This window comes from Homo sapiens, chromosome 6 (assembly GCF_000001405.40).
Source record: "Homo sapiens chromosome 6, GRCh38.p14 Primary Assembly".
NCBI classification, from domain to species: Eukaryota; Metazoa; Chordata; class Mammalia; order Primates; family Hominidae; genus Homo; species Homo sapiens.
This window is the reverse complement of record NC_000006.12, coordinates 51,901,509-51,929,457: the sequence shown is the minus strand read 5'-3', so window position 1 is coordinate 51,929,457 and position 27,949 is coordinate 51,901,509. Positions and strand designations below refer to the sequence as shown.

Below are 27,949 nucleotides of genomic sequence, written 5' to 3'. Positions count from 1 at the left end.
GTAATAAAGGTTTAAATTGCTCAAGTAATTGATTTATTGCTTTTATCTGTTATATATTTGTGTTCAAAGTAACAGTTTGTTAGAAGAAAGAGTTCCACTGTTAAAACTGTGATTAAAAAACTCTACTAGGTCATTCTTTTAGCTGTGGTGTATGGATCCTTTTGAGGTGTCCAGGGCCTCTCTGCATGATTCCTGTTTCCCCAAGACTGATTTAGCTCTGGGACATTTTCTATAAAGTCTGTTCTTTGATGTAGGGTGAAACTTTCTAGAGCCCATTTTCATGTCATAACAGTTCCTCTTATCCAACAATATATTTTTAAATCTCCACTCTCTCGTCACCTGATTAATAGTCTCCAATGCTGTCTCCTCTTGCCCCTTTCCTTACCTATTTCTTCTAGACCAAGACTCCTCCCTTTTCTTCTGTCTCTCGTTCCCTTGAGCTAGATACAAACCAGAGCTATGACATGGCATTTTTATATGTAGCTTTATTACTCTGAAATTGTTTGGTTTTAGGGGACAGAAGCCCACTGGAAACAAACTTAGAACCAAGGATTTATGAATTCTTGTAATCAAAACGCAGGATGGAGAGAAAGACAATGGCCTTAGACGTGACTGTCTTCAAGGGTCCGAATGTCCACAGGACTCACCCCTCAGTCCCTTACCCTGGCTGTCTCTGCATGTATTGACTTCACTCTCTCCTACTCCTTATTGCTGCCTTCTCTATGGTTATTGGGACTTCCTGATTTCATGTGGACTTTGATTTTCTACTACCAAAGAAAGGAACACTGTATTCTTTTCAAAAAATAACCAGGGGAGGCCTCCCAAAGTCCGCTAGAGTTACTTAGCAGACTAAGGACTATACATGGTGCCCAGGGGGAAAGTGCACTCTGACTGTCCAAGCTCAAGCCACATTTTCACTTCTGCTTTCCCCTTGCATTTATCACCACAAAATATTACCTGTGATTTCATGGGAAACTTGAGCTGATGTGGTGTGTAAATTTGCCACAGGCCTGAGCAAATGCAACCGACACAATTTTAGGGATGTTTGGTAGATGCAAACCTTTCAGACAGAAGTCTGACTCAGAATAGATTTTATTTTTCTTTAGTCACTACCTTCGTCTGTATTCTGATGGATCCTTTTTCTTGTCCTTTAAAAACACCTTGGTTACCAATAGCTTTCCAGTTGATTTCAGATATTGAAAATGCCAGTCCTGATTAATCTAGTTTAAAAACTCAGTCTCCTATTCATTTAATGTTACCTTCCTCACCCACAAAGCTTCAACTTGAGGCACTTGGGATGGTAGGGTCTGCTCCCTCACTCTTCCTCTAATCCTTCTTATTTCATATTGTCAGTATGGGGCAGGTGGAAGAGGTAAGGTGAGAGGTTTAACAAGCTTAATACTTAACGGTGCACCTATATCCTCTGTTGGGTGTTGCTCTCTCTCTGAATAATAATTGCTGACTATTGAGTCTCCCTCCTAAGATGCCTGCATGAAATCACTGGAGTCTTGTAGGAGGCTTTTCCACTGCACAGTTTCTCAATGTGGAAGCCCCACTTGGGTTTTCAATCCGTTAGCATCCACCTTGGGGGTTGGTCTTGGTGGAGTACTAGAAAGTTGGTTCAAGCCAAGCTATCTTCCCTACAATTCAGCTATCCAGAGGAAACTTACAAATCCACATGAAAGATGTTTCACTTATCACCCCTTTCTCTGCTCTGCTCTTTCTCTAATTGTTTCCCCTGCTTAGATAAGCATGAGCAGCTGAGCAAATAGGCTGCATATGCAGACATTCCACCTGGGAAAAGAAGCCAGTCTCCCCTTCTTACAGGTCACTCTGTGATTGATACTTATGCAGCCCTCTTTCTTTGCTTAATAAGAGAGAAGTAGTTTCACACCTCGCTCTATAGGAAGGGGAGGAAAGGCCAGGGTTAGCTCACCCAGGCTGATGGCTCATCCCCATCTCTCAGGATTTCTTTGAATCTCCTTGTTTTTGGTCATTCATAAATGATGGAGTGGACTCTGCTCCAGGGATGGCAAAAGTGGCAGAGTTAGATTAGCTTTCTTTAATAAGCCCCAAGGAGATGTTTTCTCCCTGTCTGTGGCTTCCCTATAATGTGGGGTGCTTATCATCTCCTGATCCTATGCATGTGTCCTCCTGGTAGGTTCTAGAGGAGCAGAAGTCCCACCCAACAACCTGCTATGTATGTAAAAAGGGTGCCCTAGAGGGATGTGGGGTTGAAGGGGAGAGCCACTGTCATTTTGCGGTTGTTATTTGGCTTTGTTTTGTTGGTTTTTATTTAGGACTGGGAAGGAAGGAGGATTAAATAGAGGGGAAGAATGGAGAAAGGAGGATGAGGAAAATTAAAAAAGTATTTATTCCTTTTTCTACTCTTAAATTTAAATGAGCTTTAATTCAGTGTTGGGGTTCTGGTCAGCTGGCATGTTGTGGCAGATCGTAATTACACAGTTGAGTTAACATCAGCAAGCATGGTCCTGGCATACTTGGAACCCTAGCGTGGTAGGACAGCCAGTGACTGATGAGTGTTTCTCTCTTTTGAGCAGATGGAGACTGACCCTTGGCTCTATGTCCTCTAAAATATAACCAACACCACCAACAAAAAATAAGGTTTTTTTTCTGTTCTGTCTAACAATACTTCAAAAAAGTCTAAACACTGTATAACCATTCTATTTACAGTGGCAGATATGTGTCTGCTAAAATCTCATTGATCTGGACAAGAGTAACCTTGGAACAATCTTTAAGAAAGGGTTCCTTAAATTAATAGTATAAACCACACTTTAGGGGACTTGTTTAAACACATTTAAGTGAACATGCTGTTTTTAAGGTCTTTTAATTTCAGGTGTTTGCATGTAAATGTATACTGCTAATTAGAAATGAGTTCTAGCTATTCAATAATCCAAGTACAGCAGGAACCCCACTTAGAAACACATTGTAAGGTACTTCAAGTTTCTATATATACTTGAAAGTGTCGGCATTAGTCAGGTCTTTTTTTGGTTTCAAGTGACAGAAAACCCAATTCGAACAAAAAATAAGAGCACTTATTGCCTCATATAACTGAAAATAAAAAACTTGAGGCGAAAAGAAAAAACTTGAGGCACAGCTGAGTCCAGGTGCTCCAATGAAGTCATTAAGATTTTGTTTCTCTGCGACTCTTGGTTCTGCTTTCCCCTCAGCTGGCTTCATTTTCAGTCAAACTCTGCCCTCATGGAGGCAGAAATGGCAGTCCTGTGACTCCAGATGAAAGGGAATGCCTCTTTCCCAATGGCTGTTTAACTTCTGAGCAAATTTCAACATTTCCCCATCACCGTTTGACATTGCTCCTTCGGTTTTCTTCTCCTTAGCTTTCAACATTATTTAATGTATTATGTAAGGTTTACTTTTCACATTTTTTTGTATTTATTTTATTACCTCTCCCAGAAGAATATATACATCATGAGGGCAAGCACTTTACTTTTTTTTTTTTTTTAATCTGCATTGCCTAGAACAGTGCCTGGACTCATAATATGCTTTAAAAAATATTTGCTTGAATAAGTGAATGAAAAACTTGAGCAAAAGCCTCAGGATTAACTTTCGCCCCATTTGAGTCATAAGCCATTTGAGAGAGAGAGAGAGATAAAAAGAGAGAGAGAGATAAAAAGAGAGAGAGGAAGGGAGAGAGAAGGAGGGAGAGAAAAAGAGAAGCAGATAGAGAGTCCAAGTCCAAAGGCGTAAGAACCAGGAAGACCAATGGTGTAAGTTCCAGTCAGAAGGCCAGCAAGCTGGATATCCAAGAAGAACCTATGCTTCAGTCTAAGTTTGAAGACCAGATAAGACCAATGTCTCAGTTCAAGTTACTTCATACTCAGCCTTTTTGTTCTATTCAGGCCTTCAGCTGATTGGATAAGGCTCATCTACATTAAGGAAGGCAATCTTCTTTACTTAGTCTACTGATTCAGATGTTAATTACGTTAGAAATACCTACACACACACACACACACACACACATACACACACACACACACGAAGAACAATTTACATTTAGCTAAAGTTGTGGGTACCCCATAGCCCAGTCAAGTTGATGCGCAAAATTAACCATCACAGTCACCAAAGCAAACCTCATAACTGACTCTGTATCGTATTTTAGACACACGAGGATTTCAAGCCTCTCATCTTGACACAAAGCTTCTCAAAGGAAAGTAACTAGCTCCAAGGTTCATCTCTTCCTTTCAAACTTTCTGTAGTTTCCATTTTCCTGCTAGGTTGTGAGGATCTTTGCTGGCGTTCTGCATCTTCTCTAGATGAGCTTGACTTTGCTCCGTCATAGAGTACTCACTCACTCATCTTCCTCTGAGTAAGTATGAGGAGCCTGGGCTCTTGAAGTGGACTGCGTGGTCCAAATCCCATCTCTACCGTGAACTAGCTAGTGGACCTTAAAAAACTCCCCAGTGTTTCAGTTCCCACATCTATAAAACGGACATTATTTTAAGACATTTCTCATGATATTTGTTATGTGGTTTAAATGAAACAAAACATGTAATGTACTTACCACAATGGCAGATGTTGAGCAAGTACTCAATAAATGTCAGTTATTATCATTGTTATTATTTGTTTACACTTTTGATTTGGTGAAGTTGTCCCATTATTAGTCTAAAGATGGGATGGTGTTTACCGTTTTCCAATAATCTCTCAGCTAGAAACCTGGTTGTCATTCTTGATACCTCCTTTATCATTCCTCTTATCATGTCCATCACTAAGTCTTGTTGATTTTAATTCTTAGATAACTTGTGAGCCCATATCCTTCTCTCTATCTCCATTACTGTCACCTTAGTTTATGGTACCTTCAACTTATGCCTGGATTATTGTGTAAGCTTTTAAACTTACTTTCTAGTTGCCACTTCTGTTCTTTCCAATTCATTCTTTGCCCTGGAGCCAAGTTGATCTTTTAAAAACACAAATCTGTTTATATTGTGCTGCTGCTCAAAACTCTTCAGTGGCTTTCCGTTGTTTCTAAGGTAAAGTCCGAAATTTATAGCATGGCTATTAGGTGCTATTTAGCTTCCTGCTAACACCTTCTGTCCTGTTTTTCAACTCTCCCCCTTGGCCACCCTCATGCTTCAGTAGTAGTCTTCTTTTAGGTTACTAAATGGTTAATGTGGTGTAGATTTTCATTTTTTACATTTTTGAGTACCACAAGAAACTCAACTTTGTTAAGTAAATGGAAAGCTACATAGGCAGAAGCTTGTGATTTTTCCTTCAAAGAGAATTCTTCCATATGCATCATCAAAGCAATACTATTAATAGTATTGCTTTCAGCCTGGTCATGGAAAAAGAGTATCATTGAATTGGGTATTATATTTGGTATTTGTCAAAATTGGATTTTACCTAGATCCTGGCACTTTATAATTTTCAAAGCTGCTTCCCATTCTTTACTCTCATTTAACTCTCACAACCACCCTGTGAAGCCTGAAAGACTGGGATCGTTACTTTCATTTTAGAGATGATGAAACTGGGGCCTGCAAGGGGATGTAACTAAAACTCATTCCATTTTCTTCATTGGACTTAAGACACACATGGCCTCGCTTCTATTTTGTGTACACATAGCTGGTATTTACTTGTGGCAGAAAGGCAGAATATACTTCTTTCTGAAACAGTCTCCTCAATTTTAACTTTTTCAGCTTATTTTGAGATCCCAATTGGGGCTTTCTGGCTTATAGCTCTCTTTGTAAAATTCTTGATAGAGGTACAAAGAACCGGTTTCTTTCACACGTTATTTATCTTTTAGTACTTCTATGGAGTTTTCCAATCTTTGTGATGGCAAATCTACAAATATTTTCTCTTATGGTTTCTGCCTTTGATTTTATGTTTATCAACTCTTTTCTGTACAAAGACTATATAAAAATTTACCTACTTGTTTTTTGGTACTTTTATTGTTTTTTTTTTTTCTTTTTTTTCACATTTGTGTCTGTCTTTAACTAGGGTCAGCAAACTATGAGCCATGGACCAAATCTGGTCCATTCCTTGCTTTTATACACAAAATTTTATTGAGGCACAGCCACACCCATTTGTGTAGGTATTATCTATGGCTGCTTTGCACTATAAGGGCAAAGTTCAGTCATTATGACAGAGACCACGTGGTCTGCAAACCCCAAACTCTTTATTATCTCCCTGTTCTTTTTACAGAAAAAGTTACCAGGCCCTTATTTTAATCAGTCTAGAATTGATTCTGATATAGTTTGTCAGTTATCTATTTTTTTTCAAATGAATAGCCAATTTTCACAGCACTATTTATTCAACCATAGGCTAAAAAATGACACCCATGTATGTCCATGTCCTAATCCTTGGAACCCATGAACGTTACCTTAAAAATTTGGCAAAACGGGGTTGGGTTCCAAGATGGCTGAATAGGAACAACTCCAGTCTATAGCTCCCAGCATGAGCAACGCAGAAGATGGGTGATTTCTGCATTTCCAACTGAGGTACTGGGTTCATCTCAATGGGACTTGTTGGACAGTGGATGCAGCCCATGGAGTGTGAGCCGAAGCAGGGTGGGGCATTGCCTCACCAGGGAAGTGCAGGGGGTTGTGGAATTCCCTTTCCTAGCCAAGGGAAGCCATGACAGATGGTACCTGGAAAATCGGGACACTCCCACCCTAGTGCTGCACTTTTCCAATGGTCTTAGAAAATGGCACACCAGGAGATTATATCCCGTGCCTGGCTCGGAGGGTCCCATGCCCATGGATCCTTGCTCACTGCTAGCACAGCTGTCTGAGATCAAACGCAAGGAGGCAGCGAGGCTTGGGGAGGGGCATCCGCCATTGCTGAGGCTTGAGTAGGTAAACAAAGTGGCCAGGAAACTCGAACTGAGTGGAGCCCACCGCAGCTCAGCTAGGCCTGCCTGCCTCTGTAGACTCTACCTCTCGGGGCAGGGCATAGCTGAACAAAAGGCAGCAGAAACTTCTGCAGACTTAAATGTCCCTGTCTGACAGCTTTGAAGAGAGTAGTGGTTCTCCCAGCACAGAGTTTGAAATCTGAGAATGGACAGACTCAAGTGGGTCCCTGACCCTGAGTAGCCTAAATGGGAGACACCTCCCAGTAGGGGCTGGCTGACACCTCATACAGCTGGGTGCCCCTCTGAGATGAAGCTTCCAGAAGAAGGATCAGGCAGCAACATTTGCTGTTCTGCAATATTTGCTGTTCTTCAGCCTCTGCTGGTGATACCCAGGCAAACAGGGTCTGGAGTGGACCTCCAGCAAACTCCAATAGACCTGCAGCTGAGGGTCCTGACTGATAGAAGGAAAACTAACAGAAAGGAACAGCATCAACATCAACAAAAAAGACATCCACACCAAAACCCCATCTGTTGGTCACCATCATCAAAGACCAAAGGTAGATAAAACCACAAAGATGGGGAGAAACCAGAGCAGAAAAGCTGAAAATTCTAAAAATCAGAGTGCCTCTTCTCCTCCAAAAGATCGCAGCTCCTTGCCAGCAATAGAACAAAGCTGGATGGAGAATGACTTTGATGAGTTGACAGAAGTAGGCTTCAGAAGATCGGTAATAACAAACCTCTCCAAGCTAAAGGAGGATGTTCGAATCCCTCACAAAGAAGCTACAAACCTTGAAAAAAGATTAGATGAATGGCTAACTAGAATAAACAGCATAGAGAAGACCTTAGATGACCTGATGGAGCTGAAAACCATGGCATGAGAACTATGTGATGCATGCACAAGCTTCAGTAGCCGATTTAATCAAGTGGAAGAAAGGGTATCAGTGATTGAAGATGAAACGAATGATATGAAGTGAGAAGAGAAGTTTAGAGAAAAAAGAGTTAAAAGAAATGAACAAAGCCTCCAAGAAATATGGGACTATGTGAAAAGACCAAATCTACGTCTGATTGGTGTACCTGAAAGTGACGGGGAGAAGGGAACCAAGTTGGAAAACACTCTTCAGGATATTATCCAGGAGAATTTCCCCAACCTAGCAAGGCAGGCCAACATTCAAATTCAGGAAATACAGAGAATGCCACAAAGATACTCCTTGAGAAGAGCAACCCCAAGACACATAATTGTCAGATTCACCAAAGTTGAAATGAAGGAAAAAATGTTAAGGGCAGCCAGAGAGAAAGGTCTGGTTACCCACAAAGGGAAGCCCATCAGACTAACAACAGATCTTTATAGCACTAAATTATAATTTATCGCACTAATTGCCCACAAGAGAAAGCAGGAAAGACCTAAAATCGATACTCTAACATCACAATTAAAAGAACTAGAGAAGCAACAGCAAACACATTCAAAAGCTAGCAGAAGGCAAGAAATCACTAAGATCAGAGGAAAACTGAAGGAGATAGAGACACAAAAAACCCTTCAAAAAATCAATGAATCCAGGAGCTGGTTTTTTGAAAAGATTAACAAAATTGATAGACCACTAGCAAGACTAATAGAGAAGAAAAGAGAGAAGAATCAAATAGACACAATAAAAAATGATAAAGGGGATACCACCACCTATCCCACAGAAATATAAACAACCATCAGAGAATACTATAAACACCTCTACACAAATAAAATGGAAAATATAGAAGAAATGGATAAATTCCTGGACACATACACCCTCCCAAGACTAAACCAGGAAGAAGTTGAATCCCTGAATAGACCAATAACAGGATCTGAAATTGAGGCAATAATTAATAGCTTACCAACCAAAAAAAGTCCAGGACCAGACGGATTCACAGCCGAATTCTACCAGAGGTACAAAGAGCAGCTGATACCATTCCTTCTGAAACTATTCCAATCAATAGAAAAAGAGGGAATCCTCCCTAACTCATTTTATCCAGCATCATTCTGATACCAAAGCCTGGCAGAGACACAACCAAAAAAGAGAATTTTAGACCAATATCCCTGATAAACATTGATGCAAAAATCCTCAATAAAATACTGGCAAACCAAATCCAGCAGCACATCAAAAAGCTTATCCACCAAGATCAAGTGGGCTTCATACCTGGGATGCAAGGCTGGTTCAATATACGCAAATCAATAAATGTAATCCAGCATATAAACCGAACCAAAGACAAAAACCACATGATTATCTCAATAGATGCAGAAAAGGCCTTCGACAAAATTCAACAGCCCTTCATCTAAAAACTCTGAATAAACTAGGTATTGACGGGATGTATGTCAAACTCATAAGAGCTATCTATGACAAACCCACAGCCAATATCATACTGAATGGGCAGAAACCAGAAGCATTCCCTTTGAAAACTGGCACAAGACAGGGATGCCCTCTCTCACCACGCCTATTCAACATAGTGTTGGAAGTTCTGGCCTGGGCCATCAGGCAGGATAAAGAAATAAAGGGTATTCAATTAGGAAAAGAGGAAGTCAAATTGTCCCTGTTTGCAAATTACATGATTGTATATTTAGAAAACCCAATCCTCTCAGCCCAGAATCTCCTTAAGCTGATAAGCAACTTCAGCAAAATCTCAGGATACAAAATCAGTGTGCAAAATCACAAGCATTCTTATACACCAATAACAGACAAAGAACCAAATCATGAGTGAACTCCCATTCACAATTGCTTCAAAGAGAATAAAATACCTAGGAATCCAACTTACAAGGGATGTGAAGGACCTCTTCAAGGAGAACTACAAACCCCACTGCTCAAGGAAATCAAAGAGGACACAAACAAATGGAAGAACATTCCATGCTCATGGATAGGAAGAATCAATATCGTGAAAATGGCCATACTGCCCAAGGTAAGTTATAGATTCAATGCCATCCCCATCAAGCTACCAAGGACTTTCTTCACAGAATTGGAAAAAACTTCTTTAAAGTTCACGTGGAACCAAAAAAGAGCCTGCATTTCCAAGACAATCCTAAGCCAAAAGAACAAAGCTGGAGGCATCATGCTACCTGACTTCAAACGATATTACAAGGCAACAGTAACCAAAACAGCATGGTACTTGTACCAAAACAGAGATATAGACCAATGGAACAGAACAGAGCCCTCAGAAATAATACCACACATCTACAACCATCTGATCTTTGACAAACCTGACAGAAACAAGCAATGGGGAAAGGATTCCCTATTTAATAAATGGTGCTGGGAAAACTGGCTAGCCATATGTAGAAAGCTGAAATTGGATCCCTTCCTTACACCTTATACAAAAATTAATTCAAGTTTGATTAAAGTCTTAAATGTTAGACCTAAAACCATAAAAACCCTAGAAAAAAACCTAGGCAATACCATTCAGGACGTAGGCATGGGCAAGGACTTCATGACTAAAACATCAAAAGCAATGGCAACAGAAGCCAAAATTGACAAATGGGATCTAATTAAACTAAAGAGCTTCTGTATAGCAAAAGAAACTATCATGAGAGTGAACAGGCAACCTACAGAATGGGAGAAAATATTTGCAATCTATCCATCTGACAAAGGGCTAATTTCCAGAGTCTACAAGGAACTTAGACAAATTTACAAGAAAAAACAACCCCATCAAAAAGTGGGCGAAGGATATGAATAGACACTTCTCAAAGGAAGATATTTATGCGATCAACAAACATATGAATAAAAGCTCATCATTACTGGTCAATATACCATCTCACACCAGTGAGAATGGTGATCATTAAAAAGTCAGGAAATAACAGATGCTGGAGTGGATGTGTAGAAATAGAAACACTTTTACACTGGAAGATAGTGTGGTGATTCCTCAAGGATCAGGAACCAGAAATACCATTTGACCCAGCAATCCCATTACTGGGTATATACCCAAAGGATTATAAATCATTCAACCATAAAGACACATGCACACGTATGTTTATTGAATCACTGTTCACAATAGCAAAGACTTGGAACCAACCCAAATGCCCATCAATGATAGACTGGATAAAGAAAATGCGGCACATCTATACTGTGGAATACTATGCAGCCATAAAAAAGGATGAGTTCATGTCCTTTGCAGGGACATGGATGAAGCTGGAAACCATCATTCTCAGCAAACTAACACAAGACAGAAAATCAAACACATGTTCTCACTCATAAGCAGGAGTTGAACAATGACAACACATGGACACAGGGAGGGCAACATCACACACCAGGGCCTGTTAGTGGGTGGGGGGCAAGGGGAAAGAGAGCATTAGGAGAAATACCTAATGTAGATGATGGGTTGATGGGTGCAGCAAACCACCATGGCACGTGTATACCTATGTAACAAACCTGCACGTTCTGCGCATGTATCCCAGAACTTAAAAATAAATATATAAAAATAAATAATGAATATATATATGTATATATTTGTTTTTATAACTATTTCAAATACAACTTAAGGTCTTTAAAACAGGTCAACAAAGTCCTGCATTATTTTGCCCAGTCCTCTTCATTTGCTCCAAAGGTCTGATATCTAGTTCATAGAGTAACACATCAGGCTCTCAGTTTCCCTACTGGCTGGCTCTTGTTTGTCTTAGGATTTGACTCATTTTCCCCAACATACAGTAAGTCCATTTTCTCACTAAGGATTTTCTTCTCTTAGTTTGATATGTGTACTATGGGCTTAAAACAGTTTCACAACAGTATCATTTCTTAGATTTCATCCCAAATATTCATTTAGTGGTTTCCAAATAATTTTTAGGATAAACTCTAAGTGCTATGGGAGGGCCTGTGAGTCATTTTTGGATGGGTCCTGCTCACCTCTTCAGAATGAAGGGACAGTCACTAGGTGCCTATACCTTCTGTATACCTGTACTCTGGCCATGCCACATATGTAGCAGTTATTCGAATGTCCCCCACCATCTTACACATCATTGTCGTTGCCTAGGGTACGCTTCCCATTTTGTCATCTGGCACACTTTGGTTTGTCCTTCAAGACCCAGCTCAGTTATCACCTCTTCTGGGAAGCATTCCTGGAAAGGACCACTCCCTTGGTGTGATTGCAGTGCTCCATGTCTGTACACCCCTGAGTGTCACTGCACCTTGCACAGTGCACTTCTGATTTTTGTCTATTTCTTGTACTGATCATGGGCCCTGGAGGAAAGGGACTCTGTTCTTTGTGTTTGTCTTCCTAGTGCGTGACAAATGTTCATCCACATACAAGACAGCATCTAATGTTTTGCTATGGATAATGGTGATGTTGCATCCAGAAATAAGGGGGAAATAATTTGTATATATTTGAGGACAATATTTCTAGTTTTTTTTGTAAGTTCCTTTATTCTGATGCAAACATTATTTTAATAAATTATCCTTTTCTTTCTCCTTTCTCTCTCTCTCTCTCTCTCTCCCCCCCACCTCTCCCTCTCTCCCTCTCTCCCTCCCCCACCCTAAATGATTTTGAAAGGCCTTGGCAGTTATTCTTAGAATAAAGATTTAAGTCCTACAAAGTAAGCAAACAGAGGACAATTAGTGATTTTAGTGTGTTAACCCACAAGGATTATTTTATTTTTCTCCATGCCCATTTAGTAAGAATGGTGCTCTGAGACTGTGTAATTATGGATGAATGACATTGAAATGCTTGAACAATAATTTGTAGGAAATACAATTATGAGTAGAAGTCATTAGTGGGAGTAAATGAGTAGTTTGTTGGTTAACAGGTCAACATGGAAAGCCCAAAGTGATTAAACATAGTATTAAATTACAAGTTAAAAGCATAGTCCTTTTTCATTTAGCATATTCATAAATTATTGAGCTTTTTATGCGTAGTTTTATGTGTTTTTGATTTGTGGTACAGAAAGGAAGGGAGCTACCCAACCTGGGTTTCAATAGTTCTATGAACAGAAATGACTCAGATGTAAAATGTGTGCAATGCCTTCTTCATCAGAGAAGTCAGTTGGTCCACCTTGTATGACATTTAAATAACATTTATGAAGTAATGAGTATAATTTTTTGAACATCAAAGCTAATTGGGTACAGTTAATTTACAGCTATTTCCAGAGGCTACAAATTCCATTTACTTGTCTAGTTCTCTGGTCTTAGATTCAGAAGAACTAGTTTCAGAACTTTGTGCTGATATCTATTACCATATAATCTTGTCCTTGAAGAATCATAGTTTCCTATCTGTACAATCTGTTAAAATAAATAACAAAAATAAAAAACCAAAGATTTCTTACTTGACAATGAAACTAGTTTGCATAGGTTGGGGTTATTCTAAGTTTTCAATAAATGTTTGTATTTTTTTCTGCTTTTTGCATATTGAATATTATATACTCACTTGGGTATATATCTGATGGGAGTTTACAAGTGATTGCCCAGAAGGCAATACTTAAAATAGGTCATTTAAACCACTATGAATTGAATGTTAATTATGCGTCCAGTGCTGTGTTAGGAATTGTGCCATATATAAAGGAGACATGAGGCAGTGGCACAGCAGTCATGGTGCCACCTGTAAGGTGGAGAGAAAAGACACATGCACTTTAGTAATTTCAGGATGATTTAGTGCTGAGATACATGGGACTGACTATTGTTTATGTAATTGAAGTCTCCCCAGGCTTCCCTGAGCCTGCTCAGCCTGTGGATATTTCAATAGTGATAAAAATTTTACTGTCTGAGGCCCCCAACTCTCACAAAACCTTCTCCCCTTTTTAGCAGTTCTGCTTGCTTGTTCTACGTGTTCTCACAATGTGTTTTCTGTGAGTTCATCTGTCTGCCTTAGTCACCATGAGGCATCTTTCATGTTCTTTTCCTCCTACTTTGGCTTCTTGGTCATTGTTCTCCATTTAGGAAGGTAGTAGGGGCTGCCTCATCCCTGCATCTACTGCTGGTACCTGCCATGAGAGTACTGAACACATGGGTTTGAGGGTGTGGGCTTTCATTTAAAACCCCAAGATGTGGGAGTGTACTGTGTCCCATGATGAAATGTGGCAACTGTCTCTGCATGCCACTCAGAGTCCCATCTGATCAACTGGACACCAAGACATTGGGGTGCTTGTTTCTCTGTCTCATTTGTGATTTTATGCATTCAGGATGTATTTATGGAACACTTACATGCTAGACACTGTGAAAGGCATTGATATTGTGACGGTGAATGAACATAGGTATGGTTTTTGCTGTTATGTTTAGTGGGGGAGACAAATTCTAAGTACAGAAATAGAGGCCAAATTGCAGTTGTGTTAAGTGTGAGAAAGGAGACAGCCATGGTGATATGACAGATTATATACAGGGTTTGCCTACTCAGCAAGTCTTGGAGCCTTCTCTCAGGATTAAGTTCTAAAGAATGCAGCAGAGTGAGTTGGTGAGAGAATCTCAGGTGGAGCAGCATCAGGTGACAAAGCCATCTGGAGGGTTCCTCCAAATTATTCCCTCAGGTTCAGTCATAGGTCCTTGTGGTCAAGAGAGAGGGCCTATATCTGAGATTGACCCCATATCTTCTCTGTCATCTTCTTTTCTCTCATCTGTTTCTTTGTGCAAACTTCCTCCCCCACACAAAGCAGCTCAAATAAATGGCCCACAAGCTACCCAGACATACTTGGGAATGCCTAAATCCCAGATGTACACACAGATTTTGCTGAAGGAACGATGTCACTGATCACTACAAGGTTTGTAGGAGGAAGTGAAGATGAAGTATGTTCTGAAATTCACTGAAAAGATTGGGCTTGAGTTGTGCTTTAAAAGGATAGATGAAGAGAAAGAAGCAAGGACATGAGCGGAAAGGACGAAATTGACAAAAGATTAGAGGCAGGACGATCCGGTTAAATGAGAAGAGGTAAAGAGACTGGGCTTCTTGGAACAGAATTTATTAAGAAATCAGAGACCATAAAGTAGGGTCACATTATGGAGAGTCTTTGAAGTCAAGCAGCAAATTTGAGACTTTGTTACTGAGTATTGCAGGAAAATACTGCAGGTTAATGGACAAAGAAGGGATGTAATTGAAATAACTTAGCACAAAATTTGTTTAAAAAAAGAACATAAGGAGGAATACTTAAAGGAATAAAAGCTGTTTGCAAGAGGGTCTAGCTCAGATAATTATTACAATAATTTCAAGATGGTAGTAGCTCATCTAAATGTCAATATCTACTATGTAGCTAGAAATATGAGGCCAACACTCATTAAACATCCAGGCTTGATGTTTTAACCATACACATAGAGGTGTTATTTTTGCAATGGGAGTGCATAAGTTATAAGCTAGTTTTACTGCTTTCTAGAGGCTCTGTCAATATTTACAAAGATGTAACTTTTTTGTTAATAGTTTAAAAATGTACTTCAAAGATTATCTGTGAATTTTTTCATCCATTCAGAGTTGACCATTATTTATAGGAGTAACTAGTTGAGCTAGACCTTTGTGGTCTTTACTCTTGGTTCTGCCATGCGTAGCTTGCATGTTGATAGTCACATAGCAGGTATTTGTTGCATATTAATTGAGAATTGTGAATACTGATCACAGAGTCTGACGGCATTTTGTCTTGGATAAACATTTTTCTGTGCTTAGTAGAGATTTTTCTATGTAGGCATTCAAGAATGGGTTATAAAAATTCACATATATATGCATATACATATAAATAAATTTTATTTCATTTTATTGTTTCCAAGGGTTAAGATATACAAACAAGAAATAAAGTTAAAATTATTTTCTTTTGGGATGATTTATGTCTTAATTTTCACCTGCCTTATAATTAGAAATTTTGAACTCTGTACATTTTTTTAAGACAAAATTATTGCCCAAGTAAACTTCAGAAATTACAATATTAACCCAGAGACCTTTCTAAACCTAGAACATTATTGGTACAAGTGCTTATGCACAGAGAGACAAATAAATAAAGAGGAAAGTTTAAAATAATTTGAAAATGATTTATTGTCGGCCACCTCTGTAGTTAGAGATTCAAGTATTATTACTTTACTTTAGTACAACAAGGGAGGACAGTAACTTGCTGCGGGCTAAAGGTAAATTATCATCCATTGCAAAAGAGGAAGGAAATGTACTACAGAAAGAGGAAGGAGTAGGGAGTAAGCCATGTGTTTTCTGAAGTATTCAGATAATGCCTTGAAAAAATCTGTGCCTTGACCCTTGCTGGAAAAGACCAGAATAAACTGTGAGACAGATGACCTTCTTGAATCTTTGATAATTAGAGATTAGCATGCTGGTATGGGGATGGTCAGGCGGGTATGCTGGAGTGTAATACAAACAAAGTTTATCTTGAACCACAAGTTCCCCTTCTTCAACTGCATTTAGCAGTCCTATGTTAGATAGGTCTAGTTTTTAGAGTTTGAAGGGATCATTTAATACACCAAGACTTATGACAACTCTAAGAGATAATTTTTGTTTTCCCCTCTATTTTTGTTATTTGTGAAGTCTTCATATTGGAAATTAGTTATGGAGGTCTACATCAGAAAGTCTAATAACCACTTGTTTTTTCTTGGAATAAAAAAGAGGTGGTAAAATTTCATCCTCAAACAGTGTGACACAGAAAAGGAAGAGAAAGGACTAACATACCCTTAGGGTCTATTATGTGGTAAGATCCAAGCTAGATGTTTCATAGATACTATTTCATTGAATCCTTCCAAAACCCTATGATGGAAGACCCTGCTACTTCTGTTTTTAACTGAGGAAACTGAAGCCCATTCATCAAGTTTATTACCCTAAAGAATAGGGTTAGAATATGAAAAGATCGTGATTCAAATATAAGTGTAATCTGACCACAATTCTTGTGCTTTTTACACGTTGCTATTCTCTAGTCTGGCTTACTTTTATTGACTTCTTTTTATAGATAAAAAGAAAACCAAGGTCAAACAAAATAAAACAAAACTAATATAAAAAAATTAGTGCTTACCTATCCTGAAGCTTGCTTTTCCAGGTCTTATTTTATGGGATTCTTTGGCTAAATAACATCACATTTATTAATGATTAAATTAATCACGTTTTGATTAATGATTAAATTATCTGGACAACTTTTCCTCGGGCTGCTTTAGGTTCACTACCAGAAGTAATTGTCACCTGTCTTAGAGCAACTGCCCATGCCCTAGACACAGTGCTGGCTTTAGAAGATGCTGTGGACTGGAACCCTGGGGATGAAGTTGTCATCATCAGTGGAACAGGTGTTAAAGGTGCCAAACCGATGGAAGAGATTGTCACTGTGGAAACTGTGCAGGATACAGACCTCTATCTTAAGTCACCTTTGAGGTACTGAGTGTCAGCTTGGCTAAGTTGACATGGAAGAAGATGAGATCTTAACTGTATTGGGGTCTGGACATTTGTATTGGGGTCTTTCAATGATATATTTCTTCTGCTTAAATAATGGTAGACATTTTGACAAGAAAATTAAAAAGCATGAAATGTTTTGAAGATTTAGACTTTGTAAGTTAGTTTGTCTTGTCTCTAGAACTTCTGTCTTACACAAATGTTTGGGGCAATGATCAGCATAGTTTCTAATTTTCATGTACTTGTGTCTATAGTTCACTATTTGGTATTGAGTTTCTAAAGAAACATGAATAGATCCCCAAAGGAAGAATTATGTTAATCTAGTGGCTTATTATTCCTAGTAAGATTTGGAGTGATGTCCTCAGTTCTATCATCCTCTTTTTTTCTCCAGATATTCTCACAACTTTACAGAGAATTGGGTGGCTGGAGAGCACCATATTTTAAAGGCCACTGTGGCTCTGCTCAGCAGGAGTATTACCATACAAGGAAATCTCACTAATGAGAGGGAGAAGCTGCTTGTTTCATGCCAGGAGGCCAATGCTCCAGAAGGTAGAAGAGTGTTTTGTTGGAAAGTCTAATGAGCAAAAAAGAATATTCTTACTGTCTGATGATAGATGGCATTGCTGTGGTTGACCTCTTTTAAAATAGAATAAGCCCTTAAACTTTGGATGCCCATACTTTTCTGTAGTTTTCAGAATGCTCTTGATTGTCATTTCATCCTCCTCTCTGCCCCACTGCCCAACAACCTTGTGAAAAAGATAACAAAAGACAAAAGAAATAAAATATTATTTCTCTGGGGAAAATATTTCTATTAAAGAACTAAATCTGAAGAGTTGAATTACATTTCTGGGTTCAATGTTAAAATTCCAGGCCACTTCTAAGATTCTCAGGAAAGCCATATGCCAGAGTTCTGGGCTCAGGCAGCACATTCTTACTGATTAGACTTGTAGGGCTCCCCCATCCCCATTTTGGGATTTGTTTTCTGAGTGAACTACCACATACTTTAGGTAAGTGGTGGAAAAATTCAATTTATCTTCTAGTAGAATAGCAGGCACTGAATCACATTGATGTGCCTATTAAGCATCTATTTCAGGGATGGTTAGTTTAGTAGGTCATGTTTTGGTTTCCCAGGCTGTAGATTATGAGGCTTTCACATGTTGTGAAGACATCATTTGTCAACTTTGGTCCAGGATGGCGTGGGTGTCAAGGATGACTTCCAGGCATGAGCTCTGGATGGATGATGAGGCTATTTGCTGGGATGGGAAGAGGAGCAGGTTTTGGGGTGGGAGAGTGGCAATCGTGAGTTTAATTTTGTATATGTCATAACTGAGATGCCAGCAGGCCAGCCAACTGTGTAGAGATGTCTGGTAATGTGTGGAGCCTGGAAGAAAGGTCAAAGGGAGCTGGAGTTAAAGATTTGAGTTGTGTCTAAATATAGGTGCATGTGAGTAAAATGTTGCCATGTGGTTGGGTGTGGGGAGTTGTTAGAAGTAGAGAGGCAGTTTGGCCTCACCTCCCTCCCTACAAATCATCTACTCACAAATGTGTCATTCTAAAAAGAATGTTTGGATAACAGTGGGTTCACTTCCATCAACTGCCCAACTTTATCAATTCTGCAGAATTGGGATCTACATTCTATTCAAACTTCCTTGGTATTCTGAGATCATATTTTGCCAAATATTGCATTTGATCATGCTGCCAGTGAGATCATGCTTCTAGGTTTAAGCCATTATAAATCTGTTAGCCCCAAATGGAAAACATCCTTGATTGCATCACAAATCGTAAATACAACTACAATATTCTCAAAATAAGTCATTTCTTTTCTGTGTGGGGCTGGAGTGTGGAACAAGGTAGCTGAATTTAATAACACAAGGCCTGTCCATTTGAAAATCTTATGGATCAGTGGCACAAATAATCAAATTGTGATAAGGCATACAAATATAAATATCTCTTCATTCACCTCTTCTCTGGGTAATAGCAAATGATTGGATTCTGAAATTTACTGTGATATGATACAGTGTTTTATATTATTGGTGCTTCTTTGGATCATTAACATGAAAAATCTTTATTATCCATTGGAGAGATGATTTATTCTCCAGATTAGTTTGTACCACCAAATGCCATGTATCAACAGAAGGTGCCCTGGATCCTGAGGTCACAACATTTTGGTAGCAATAGTAGTTGTGTGTGTTAGGTCCAGGTGGTTTGCTGCCCTCCCTGGCATTCATAGTTGTGTGTGTTAGTTCAGGTGGTTGCTGTCCTCACTGGCATTTGTAGTTGTGTGTGTTAGGCTCAGGTTGCTGCTGTCCTCATTAGTGGCACAGCTGGGGAAGTAGGTGTTGGTGCAGGAGCTGCTCAGTTGCTTCTCTGGAGTCCTTTGACATTTCTGTGGTAGCGTTATTGCTAAGTCCCCAAACCATAAAACAGCACAGTAATGGGGAAACCTCATTGGACAGCTTAAGATTAAAAAGTGCTGTTATTATATTCAGTGCTAACATGTCTTTCCTACAATTATCAACCACAAGAAGGTCATTTTATTGCACATTTCCTCCAGAGGATCTTTTAGATTGAAATAAGCATCTATTTAGGTTGGGTTTGTGGGTTATAGTCTGACTCTTTGTGACAGTAATTAAGGTGATTGATTTGGGAGTTTCTTGAAAAAATAGAATGAAGGCAACATCATGTCCTGTTTATCAGATCTTTTAATTAATAATATACAGAGGAGAATCAAAGAAAAGGGGAAATAAGATTATTAAATGAAATAAACAGTAATGGTTTTTCCTCGGTGCTGACAGTACCTTTCAAACTGGGAGATTTGTCTGGAAGCATGTTCTACATGCTTTAGGTTCTCTGGACTTTATTTTGCATTTCAGGTAATCTGCAGCACTGTTTGTATTCCATGAGTGAGAAGATGCTAGGATCCAGGGATATGGGAGCCAGAGTGATCGTTCAGTCCTTCCCAGAAGAGCCCAGCCAGGTCCAGTTGAAGGGAGTGCAGTTTCAAGTCTTGGGGCAAGCCTTCCATAAGCATCTGAGCTCACTCACTCTGGTGGGAGCTATGAGAGGTAAGGGGGTCCGGACCTAGGACTTTCTCATGTTTCTTTCTCCCATGTTTAAGGCACTACATGCATGGTGGAATGATAGATGATATGTGGGATTTGAGGGATTTAGAGATGGATAATTGTTATATTCTAGGTCTATGGTTCCCAAACTTCAGTATGCCTAAACAAATCACTTGTGGAGCTTATTAAAATTCAGAGTTATAGACCTTACCCCAACAAATTCTGGTCTAAGGTAGGCTTAGGAATGTGTATTTTAAATACAAACCTTTTGATTCTGGAACAGGCAGTCCAAGGAGTCCAGTTTGAGAACTATCACTATAATACAGCACACAAGAGTGAACCACACAATCCTGTGTTTTGAATTCTGTCTCTACCACTTACTAGCTTTGTGACTACAGGTGAATTGGCATTACATTATCAACACTGTGGGAGTCCAGGCACTTCTATGTAAAGTTGTCCTAAATCAGAGGAATCTTTTGCCTGGGGAAATGAGGGGGAATGGGCTGAAACCCAGGTGCTTTTTCTGGAAATGAGGAGCAGTTACATGTGCAGATCTTGGCCAGACATGAAGATATAAGAAGGGAGCAGGAAACATCAAATTCAGGTGAGAACAACTAGGTGAAAAACAAGATCAGAATCAGAAAAACAGAATATGACCAAATGCACTGATAAAAGTTCTAAAATAAAAGTTGAATGTAGGAACATCCAGGGCAAAAACTCATTACCAAAAGCTGACATGCAGAGAATCACAGAATGGGGGTGCAGATGCCAAGTCAGGAGGACAGCAGCTCCATTTCTGAGTAATCCTCCCCATTCATCAGCACTTTCAACACCCACACATTCAAGCTTTGCCTTCTTTAAAGAGGCTGTGCCCCAGGGGTTCAGAGGTTGATGCCTGACAAAGGACATCAGGGCATACTTTGTGGTTCAGGTGGCTTTTGAGAGATGCTAGGATTCTAACAGGTAATTGCAGAGTAATCCTTCAGGTCATTGAGGGCAGGATTCTGAACTGCCAGAAGCAACATTTTCCTTCATTTCAAATTATCTGCATGCTAAGGACGTCTATTTCTTCTAATTTTTCCAATCTTTTTAAATTTATTTGAGTCATTTCAGAGGATGGCTCCGCATATGGCCTCTCCGCTAGTGCTTCGGATTGATTAGTATCTTTATTTCCTTCTCTCTGGTTCTTTGGTCAGCTGTATATAGTACTGCAGAATATTTGACATGCGGCCAATTCAGTAAAAAAGAGGGTAGCTGTCACAAATAAGTTATCAATTGAACATAATCAAAGCCCTTCCTTGATCAAATTTTACCTAACCTATCTCTCCCACCTCTGTTTCAATCAGAGTAGCTGCACACTCATCTATTTTTATAGATATTTTATATTTTAGGTTTTATTTGAAAAAGAGTTCAGTGCTTAAAAAATAAAAGTTTGAAAATTACTGCATTAATACATTTATTACCTTTAAATCCCTGTTAAAATGCAGAGGCTAGAAACTTTTGGAATGCTCATTAAGGAATCTTTTATTGTTTAACACCCTGAAGCCCCTCATGTCCTACGCAGCTAATTACTCCCAGCTACCAGAGTTAGAAAGCATTGGGATATTTGAACAGTACTTTTTAAAAAATTTAATTTAATTTTAAGTTCTAGGGTACATGTGCAGGATGTGCAGGTTTGTTACATAGGTAAATGTTGCACAGTACTTTTTAAAGGTTCACTAATCCCAGTATTCCGCCCATAAGAGCTACACAAACACATAAGTACTTACTGGTTTTTCACATGGTCAGGCCTATGCTGTTTGGGTGATATGGTGAAGATTCTGTGCACTATGGGCAGTGTTTGCTACAGAAGTAGATATGGATGGGTTAATTTATTGGGGTGGATCCTTGATGAGCAATGTGAGGGCACCTAGTAGTAGGAGAGCTGAGATTGAGGGGAATGTGGAGATCCAGTGTTGATAGTGATGTTAAAGTTTAGAATTTTTTGGATAGTCCCAACTGTAAAAGTCAAATTATTCTGTAAACTAAAGTAACTTTTCTAATATCCCAGCACTTGGCATCTGTATCTTTCTCACTACCTAGTAATAATACAAAGCTCCCTTTTTAGGATTTATAGTTTAATTATTCAAATAATGGATTTTTATTATTTTAATGTCAGTTTCCTCCATCAGAATGCAAATACATGAATGCAGAGGTTACTTAGTTTCATTCATCTTTATGTTTCCAGCACAATGCAATGCACAATTCCTGAAACATATAGTTGATACTCAGTAATTGTGTATTCATTGACTCATCTAGGCCTCGTAACCAGATCTGGGGATCATAGAATATGCCTATGGAACCAGTGTAATGATTTTCCTAATTGTCAATTTTTTAGCGTAGTAGAGGATAGCTTCCTCTTTAGTTGTATAAACCTATCCAGTTCAAATGTGAGAGTCATGATCCTCAGGCCAACCTTTGACCTTGCTTACAGTTAGGAATGAGTCTCTGGCTATCTTGGGCCAAGAATATTATTGCCTGATAAATTATAAATATTAATTCACTGCTCCAGGTTTCAAAGATCAAGGCTGGCCCATAAGCAGTGCTCTTCACGTTATCCTTAACTTCTCATCTGCTGTATTATGATGAAAGCTGATACTAAAGATGATAGCCAGTTGGAAATCTTGACAGCCATGAGTTCTTTTATTGTTTAGACATACTTTGTCTTTCTCAGATTGTTTTTTTTTTTCTAACACTTGATTGTTGAATTTCACCCTTTTTATTATTGAGGCCCATTGGTTTGAGTTACTCATTCTCTTGATTCGATTGCTGCTTCTAACTTCTTATCTCCTGAGTTTCATTATTGTGTGGGAGAATGTCTTTAGCTACAGTGTAGGTTGCTCTAAATATGGTCAACAGAATCTCAGGAGCCATATCTAATTTTTACTTTACTCTTTCCTATTCAGAGTCTTTCATACAGGGCTGCACAGTGAGGAACTCCTTCAGTAGAGGCCTCAGCATGTGCGGGACCTTGGGCCTGAAGGTGGACAGTAATGTATTCTACAATATTTTAGGTCATGCGCTGCTAGTTGGTAAGTAAAACAAGCTTGTTGAATTTCTGCATTCTTGTGTAGGACACAGTTTTTCACAATGAATTCTCCCCAAATTTCTAATTCCTAATTTATAAAAATATTGGCTTTATGATCACTAGAAATGGGCTACAGTAAAACATTCTAAATTTAAATGTAGTCATCACTGATTGGCTTACTAAACTTTACCTATAGGATACTGATCTTTTAAAGGTTAGTTCAGGTTAATAAGTGTATAATGGGAAGTTTTAAAGTTTACTACCAGTAATTTTCACAATAATTCTAAGTCACATGCATATGTCTTTGTATAGTCTTACAGACTGTCAAACTTGGATGTTGGCCAAGGATTTAAAAATCTGGAATTCTCTTCTTAATAGAATTCAAGCTCCTGTGGCTTGCTGAAGAAGCCCATGTTTCAGAATCTTCAACTGATCAACTCTATCTACTTCTGTTTCCTAAAGTTCATTCCCCTTGCAAAACTCAGAATTATCCTTAAAAATCTCAGATTGCATCATATCACTTCTCTCCTTTGAGATTCTTATTGCTTTTAAAATAGAATCCCAAACTTTTCACCAGACTTAAAAGATCCCTTCAGTGATTTTGTCTCTGTTAACTTCTGTAAACTTGTCTTGTTTTTTTTCTCTTTCTCCATACTCTAGTGACATTAAAATATTTTATTTTAGTTCCTTCAAAAGACCACACTTTTTCCTTCCTCAGGGTCTTTGCACAAGCTCTCTGGCTCTGTTCATGCCACTTACTCTTCTCTTGCAACATTCTCTCTCCCAGACAAGTCCTTCTGTTTAAGCTCTTTAAGCGCCAATCAGTACTTCTTGATTTAAAATTATATACCACATTTCTGGTCATCTGATTAATGTCTTTATACCACCGGATTTCTTGAGGACATTGTCTCCTGAACACTTAGCATATTAACTAGTGCATTGTAGATCTATTAGTTGAAAGAAATGAATGAATTAAGAAACAAAGGGTCTCCAGTTTTATCAGAATAAAAAAGCAAATCAGAGGTTTTCACTGAAAGTGAGAATATAACTGTATTTGTTAAATACCGTTTGATATTTAATTCTATAGTATCATCAGTGGGAAAAATACATGTTTCATTTAAGAACAATCTGTTGAGATAAAAGCTATAAAAGTTCTATCCTGAGATGGAAACTGTCTAGTGAGAAAATGTGAATCAGATACATTTGCTTTAAAACATACTCTAGCTCTAAAAGACAAAAACTAAGGGTAACTGAGGTGATCAGGTGCAGAAAAATCTTTTGATTAGAAAAGGACAGCCACAGGGAAGTCAACTAACAGATGTAGGATTGACTTTGTTTGTTCCTATGTTTGTCCGTGCAAGGGAAAAGGTGAAACATCAAGGAGAAATTGAGAAAGGTATCCTAACAGTATTACCTTAGCAGAAAACAATTATGTGGAATAGATATTAACTATGCAAGGAAGAAAACCTGTAGGCAGAATTTAGCCTTTAGTGCTTGAATGTTGTGAATTATAAGATTTTGACATCTATTGTATTACAAGTGAGGGAATTAAAATTTTTGTTTATTGATGTGTGGTGGGTAAAGCACTCAATCTCACACATAACAAGTATGCAAACCCAGACCCATGAAATGGCATGAGGAAGCCTAGATACTTAAAGACTTTGTAATGAAGGGTTCTTTGGGGCAGCTCTTTATTGATAGCCCTTAAGTGACTAATTTCTCTATTAGCATGGCCCATGCTTGCTCTTCTATTCCAACCTCAGTGGTTTGGGTGAGAAGGTCCTAGATGTTGTCCATCCTGTTCCTACAGGACATTTCAGATCTTCCAAGGGAAGGTGAGGGCATGCAGATAGCAGGTGGCCAGTTTGAACAGCTAGGAATGGGGTTGGTGTTGACACAGGATATGTGGCACTTAACAGTGGAGATAGTCACTTAGACTCCTCCTCAAAAGTAAAACAGATCTATTTTTCTGTTCTTTTTATTTAAAATGAACTTCTGATTCCTGATACTCTAGAACTGAAGAGTACATAAGATCTGTATCTCTTTCCCTGATTTACAGATAAAAACACAAAAACAAAATCAAAACAACCCACACCCAAAGAAGTAGTGTTGCAGCATCTCTTGTTTTCCTAAGTGACATAAAATATACTCAAGTAATGGGGTCTTTTGTTCTCAGGGACATGCACGGAGATGAGATATATCTCCTGGGAGGCAATTCATGGAAGGAAAGATGGTAAATATGTAAATTGATTTTAAATCTATTACAGTGTATTTAAAATTGTCATATATTTTATAGACAAGCCTGATGGCAAAATGTTAGGTCTCTTAAGTTTATTGTGCATACTAAATATTTTCTAAATATATATATATATATATATATATATATGAAATGCATTATGTGAACTCTGATGTGTATTAGTAGAATCAAGGGTGTTGAGTTGAGTACATTTTAATTATGTTTGTGGATCCCCTGGATTTGTTGAAACATTAGACTGGTCAGGACATGGAAATATAATAAGAAACAACGTGATCATCCAGGTTTCTGGTGCCGAGGGACTCTCCAATCCTGAAATGTTGACACCATCTGGCATCTATATCTGCAGTCCCACCAATGTTATAGAGGTAAGATGTTCAGCTCTACCAGGAAGACCAGAACTGAGAGGGCATAAAGTTCTTTCTCAATCAGGGGTGTCCAACCTTTTGGCTTCCCTGGGCCACATTGGAAGAATAATTGCCATTGGAAGAATTGGGTCACACATAAAATGCACTAACGCTAATGACAGCTGATGAGCTGAAAAAAAATTGTAAAACAAATCTCATAATGTGTTAAGAAAGTTGATGAATTTGTGTTTGGCCACATTCAAAGCCATCTTGGGCTGCATACGACCTGTGGGCTGCCAGTTGGACAAGCTTGCTCCAAAAGTTCTTTAAGGTGGCAGCGTTAGTGGTGGTGTGGTATGAAATGTTTACTTGCTGCATATTAGTATCAAGAAAATAATTTATAATTTTGCATTAAACAAGTACTTTAGGATAAATGTAAGCATTCCTCTCAGGATTTCTGGAAACACTTTTTTGAAGCAATAGGTAATGGAGCAAAACAAAGTAGATATTGATCGTTTCCTGGTCATCTAGGTAATGCAAACTAAAATATCTCCCTGAACTACCAACTCTGGGTGCTGATTTTTGTCTCACTTGATTCCAATACCAATTTCTTTTTAAACCTTCACTATCTTACTATGTTAATGTGGCCATATTTTGTCCTTTAAGAGTGTTCAAAACTGAGACATGAGGTGTATAAGGTCATGTCAGATTCCAGGAGGATGAAGTCCACTTCAATAACCTTGATTTTTAAAATCCCATTATTTAGTACAACTTAACATTGGTTTCCCTTGGCACATTTCTGTTTAAACATTTAAGAAATTAATTTTTGAGGGGACAATGTAGCTGTAGACCTGAGTGAACAAGTGCATCAGAGTAGTGGCAAGCCATTTCATTTCCCCTTTTCTAATTATTTTATCCCATGGATCTTCTATCAAAGGAGTTAAGGGCCTCACTGTTTCAGGAAACTCCTCTCAGCATCCACTATGTCATTATGCTGAGTTTCTAAGGAACTCAGAGGATGAGCTTCTTTCTCACTGATCATCTGTTTTTAATTACCTTCAGCTGAATAAACCCTAGTAAAAGTAGTGGTTATCTCTTCTTCCTTAGATTCTTAATTATGTTTGTTCCAAGCACAGCACTCACACACCATTTTAGGTGCCTAATGGGAGTGGCTAATATGCCAGTAAGCAAAGGAAGCAGAACTACACGGACTGTAGGAACCCAGATCCCAGATCCAGGACAGCTGGAGCTGCATTTAACTTGTTGGTCACTACAGGCCAAAAATCCTAATGATAATTAGGATTTTTTTGTTGTTATTTTAAACTTTTAATTTTAAAATAATTTCAGACTTACAAGAAGCTGCGTAAATAAAAGAGTTCCTATGTGCCCTTTCTATGTCTGTAAGCTTTTGGGCTTAAGAAACCATGTTTTTGTGTACTTTTCTGGGTAGCATAATGTTGACTACATCAAATGCCTGGAGGAAAGTAAACCCTCAGGGTTGCCCAGCTCACCCTGCTGTGTGAAGCTGGAATGTCCTTGTCTCACTGGGTAGTATGTGGTCTGCTGGACGGAGTGCTGGCCACTGGCTGACAAGAAGAAGGGTTGAGCTGGCTGCAGGTGCAGAGAACCAGAGGGTAATCTGAAAAGCTGTGGGTGGTGTGAGCCTTTGCAAAATGACCTGTAGAATAATACCCAGTCAGCAATGGAAAAATTGAGTCTGCAACTAGCTGCTTGCTCTCCCTCCAACGCTTTCCATTTCCCTTCATTTACTTTCTTACTCTTGTATCTGCTTTACAAAATTAGAAAAAAAATACAATGCATATGTTTTGAGAATGGAGTTTTAGGTTAAACTGGTAATGTAGATTCATTAGGTATATTCCTGACATATTTATCCTTGGTGACCTTAAAGTTCTTTTTTTTTTTTTTTAAGTTTTTTTTTCTTTTATTATTATACTTTAAGTTTTAGGGTACATGAGCACATTGTGCATGTTAGTTACATATGTATACATGTGCCATGCTGGTGCGCTGTACCCACTAACTTGTCATCTAGCACTAGGTATATCTCCCAGTGCTATTCCTCCCCACTCCCCCCACCCCACAACAGTCCCC

General features: G+C 38.7%; 1 protein-coding gene across 23 annotated transcripts in view; it reads left to right on the top strand.

Annotated features, from left to right (window-relative positions):
- Positions 1-27,949, top strand: part of PKHD1 (PKHD1 ciliary IPT domain containing fibrocystin/polyductin) — a 472,317-nt gene that overhangs the window by 158,158 nt on the left and 286,210 nt on the right. For all 23 annotated transcript variants that reach the window (XR_001743469.2, XM_017010944.3, XM_017010945.3 and 20 more), the window contains 6 exons: positions 16,882-17,092; positions 17,502-17,659; positions 19,984-20,175; positions 23,118-23,243; positions 25,416-25,472; positions 25,731-25,861. Coding sequence is in view for 22 of the 23 variants with exons in the window: in XM_017010944.3 (XP_016866433.1) it covers positions 16,882-17,092; positions 17,502-17,659; positions 19,984-20,175; positions 23,118-23,243; positions 25,416-25,472; positions 25,731-25,861 (875 nt within the window). In the remaining variant the exon portion in view is untranslated. The remainder of the gene's footprint in view (positions 1-16,881; positions 17,093-17,501; positions 17,660-19,983; positions 20,176-23,117; positions 23,244-25,415; positions 25,473-25,730; positions 25,862-27,949) is intronic.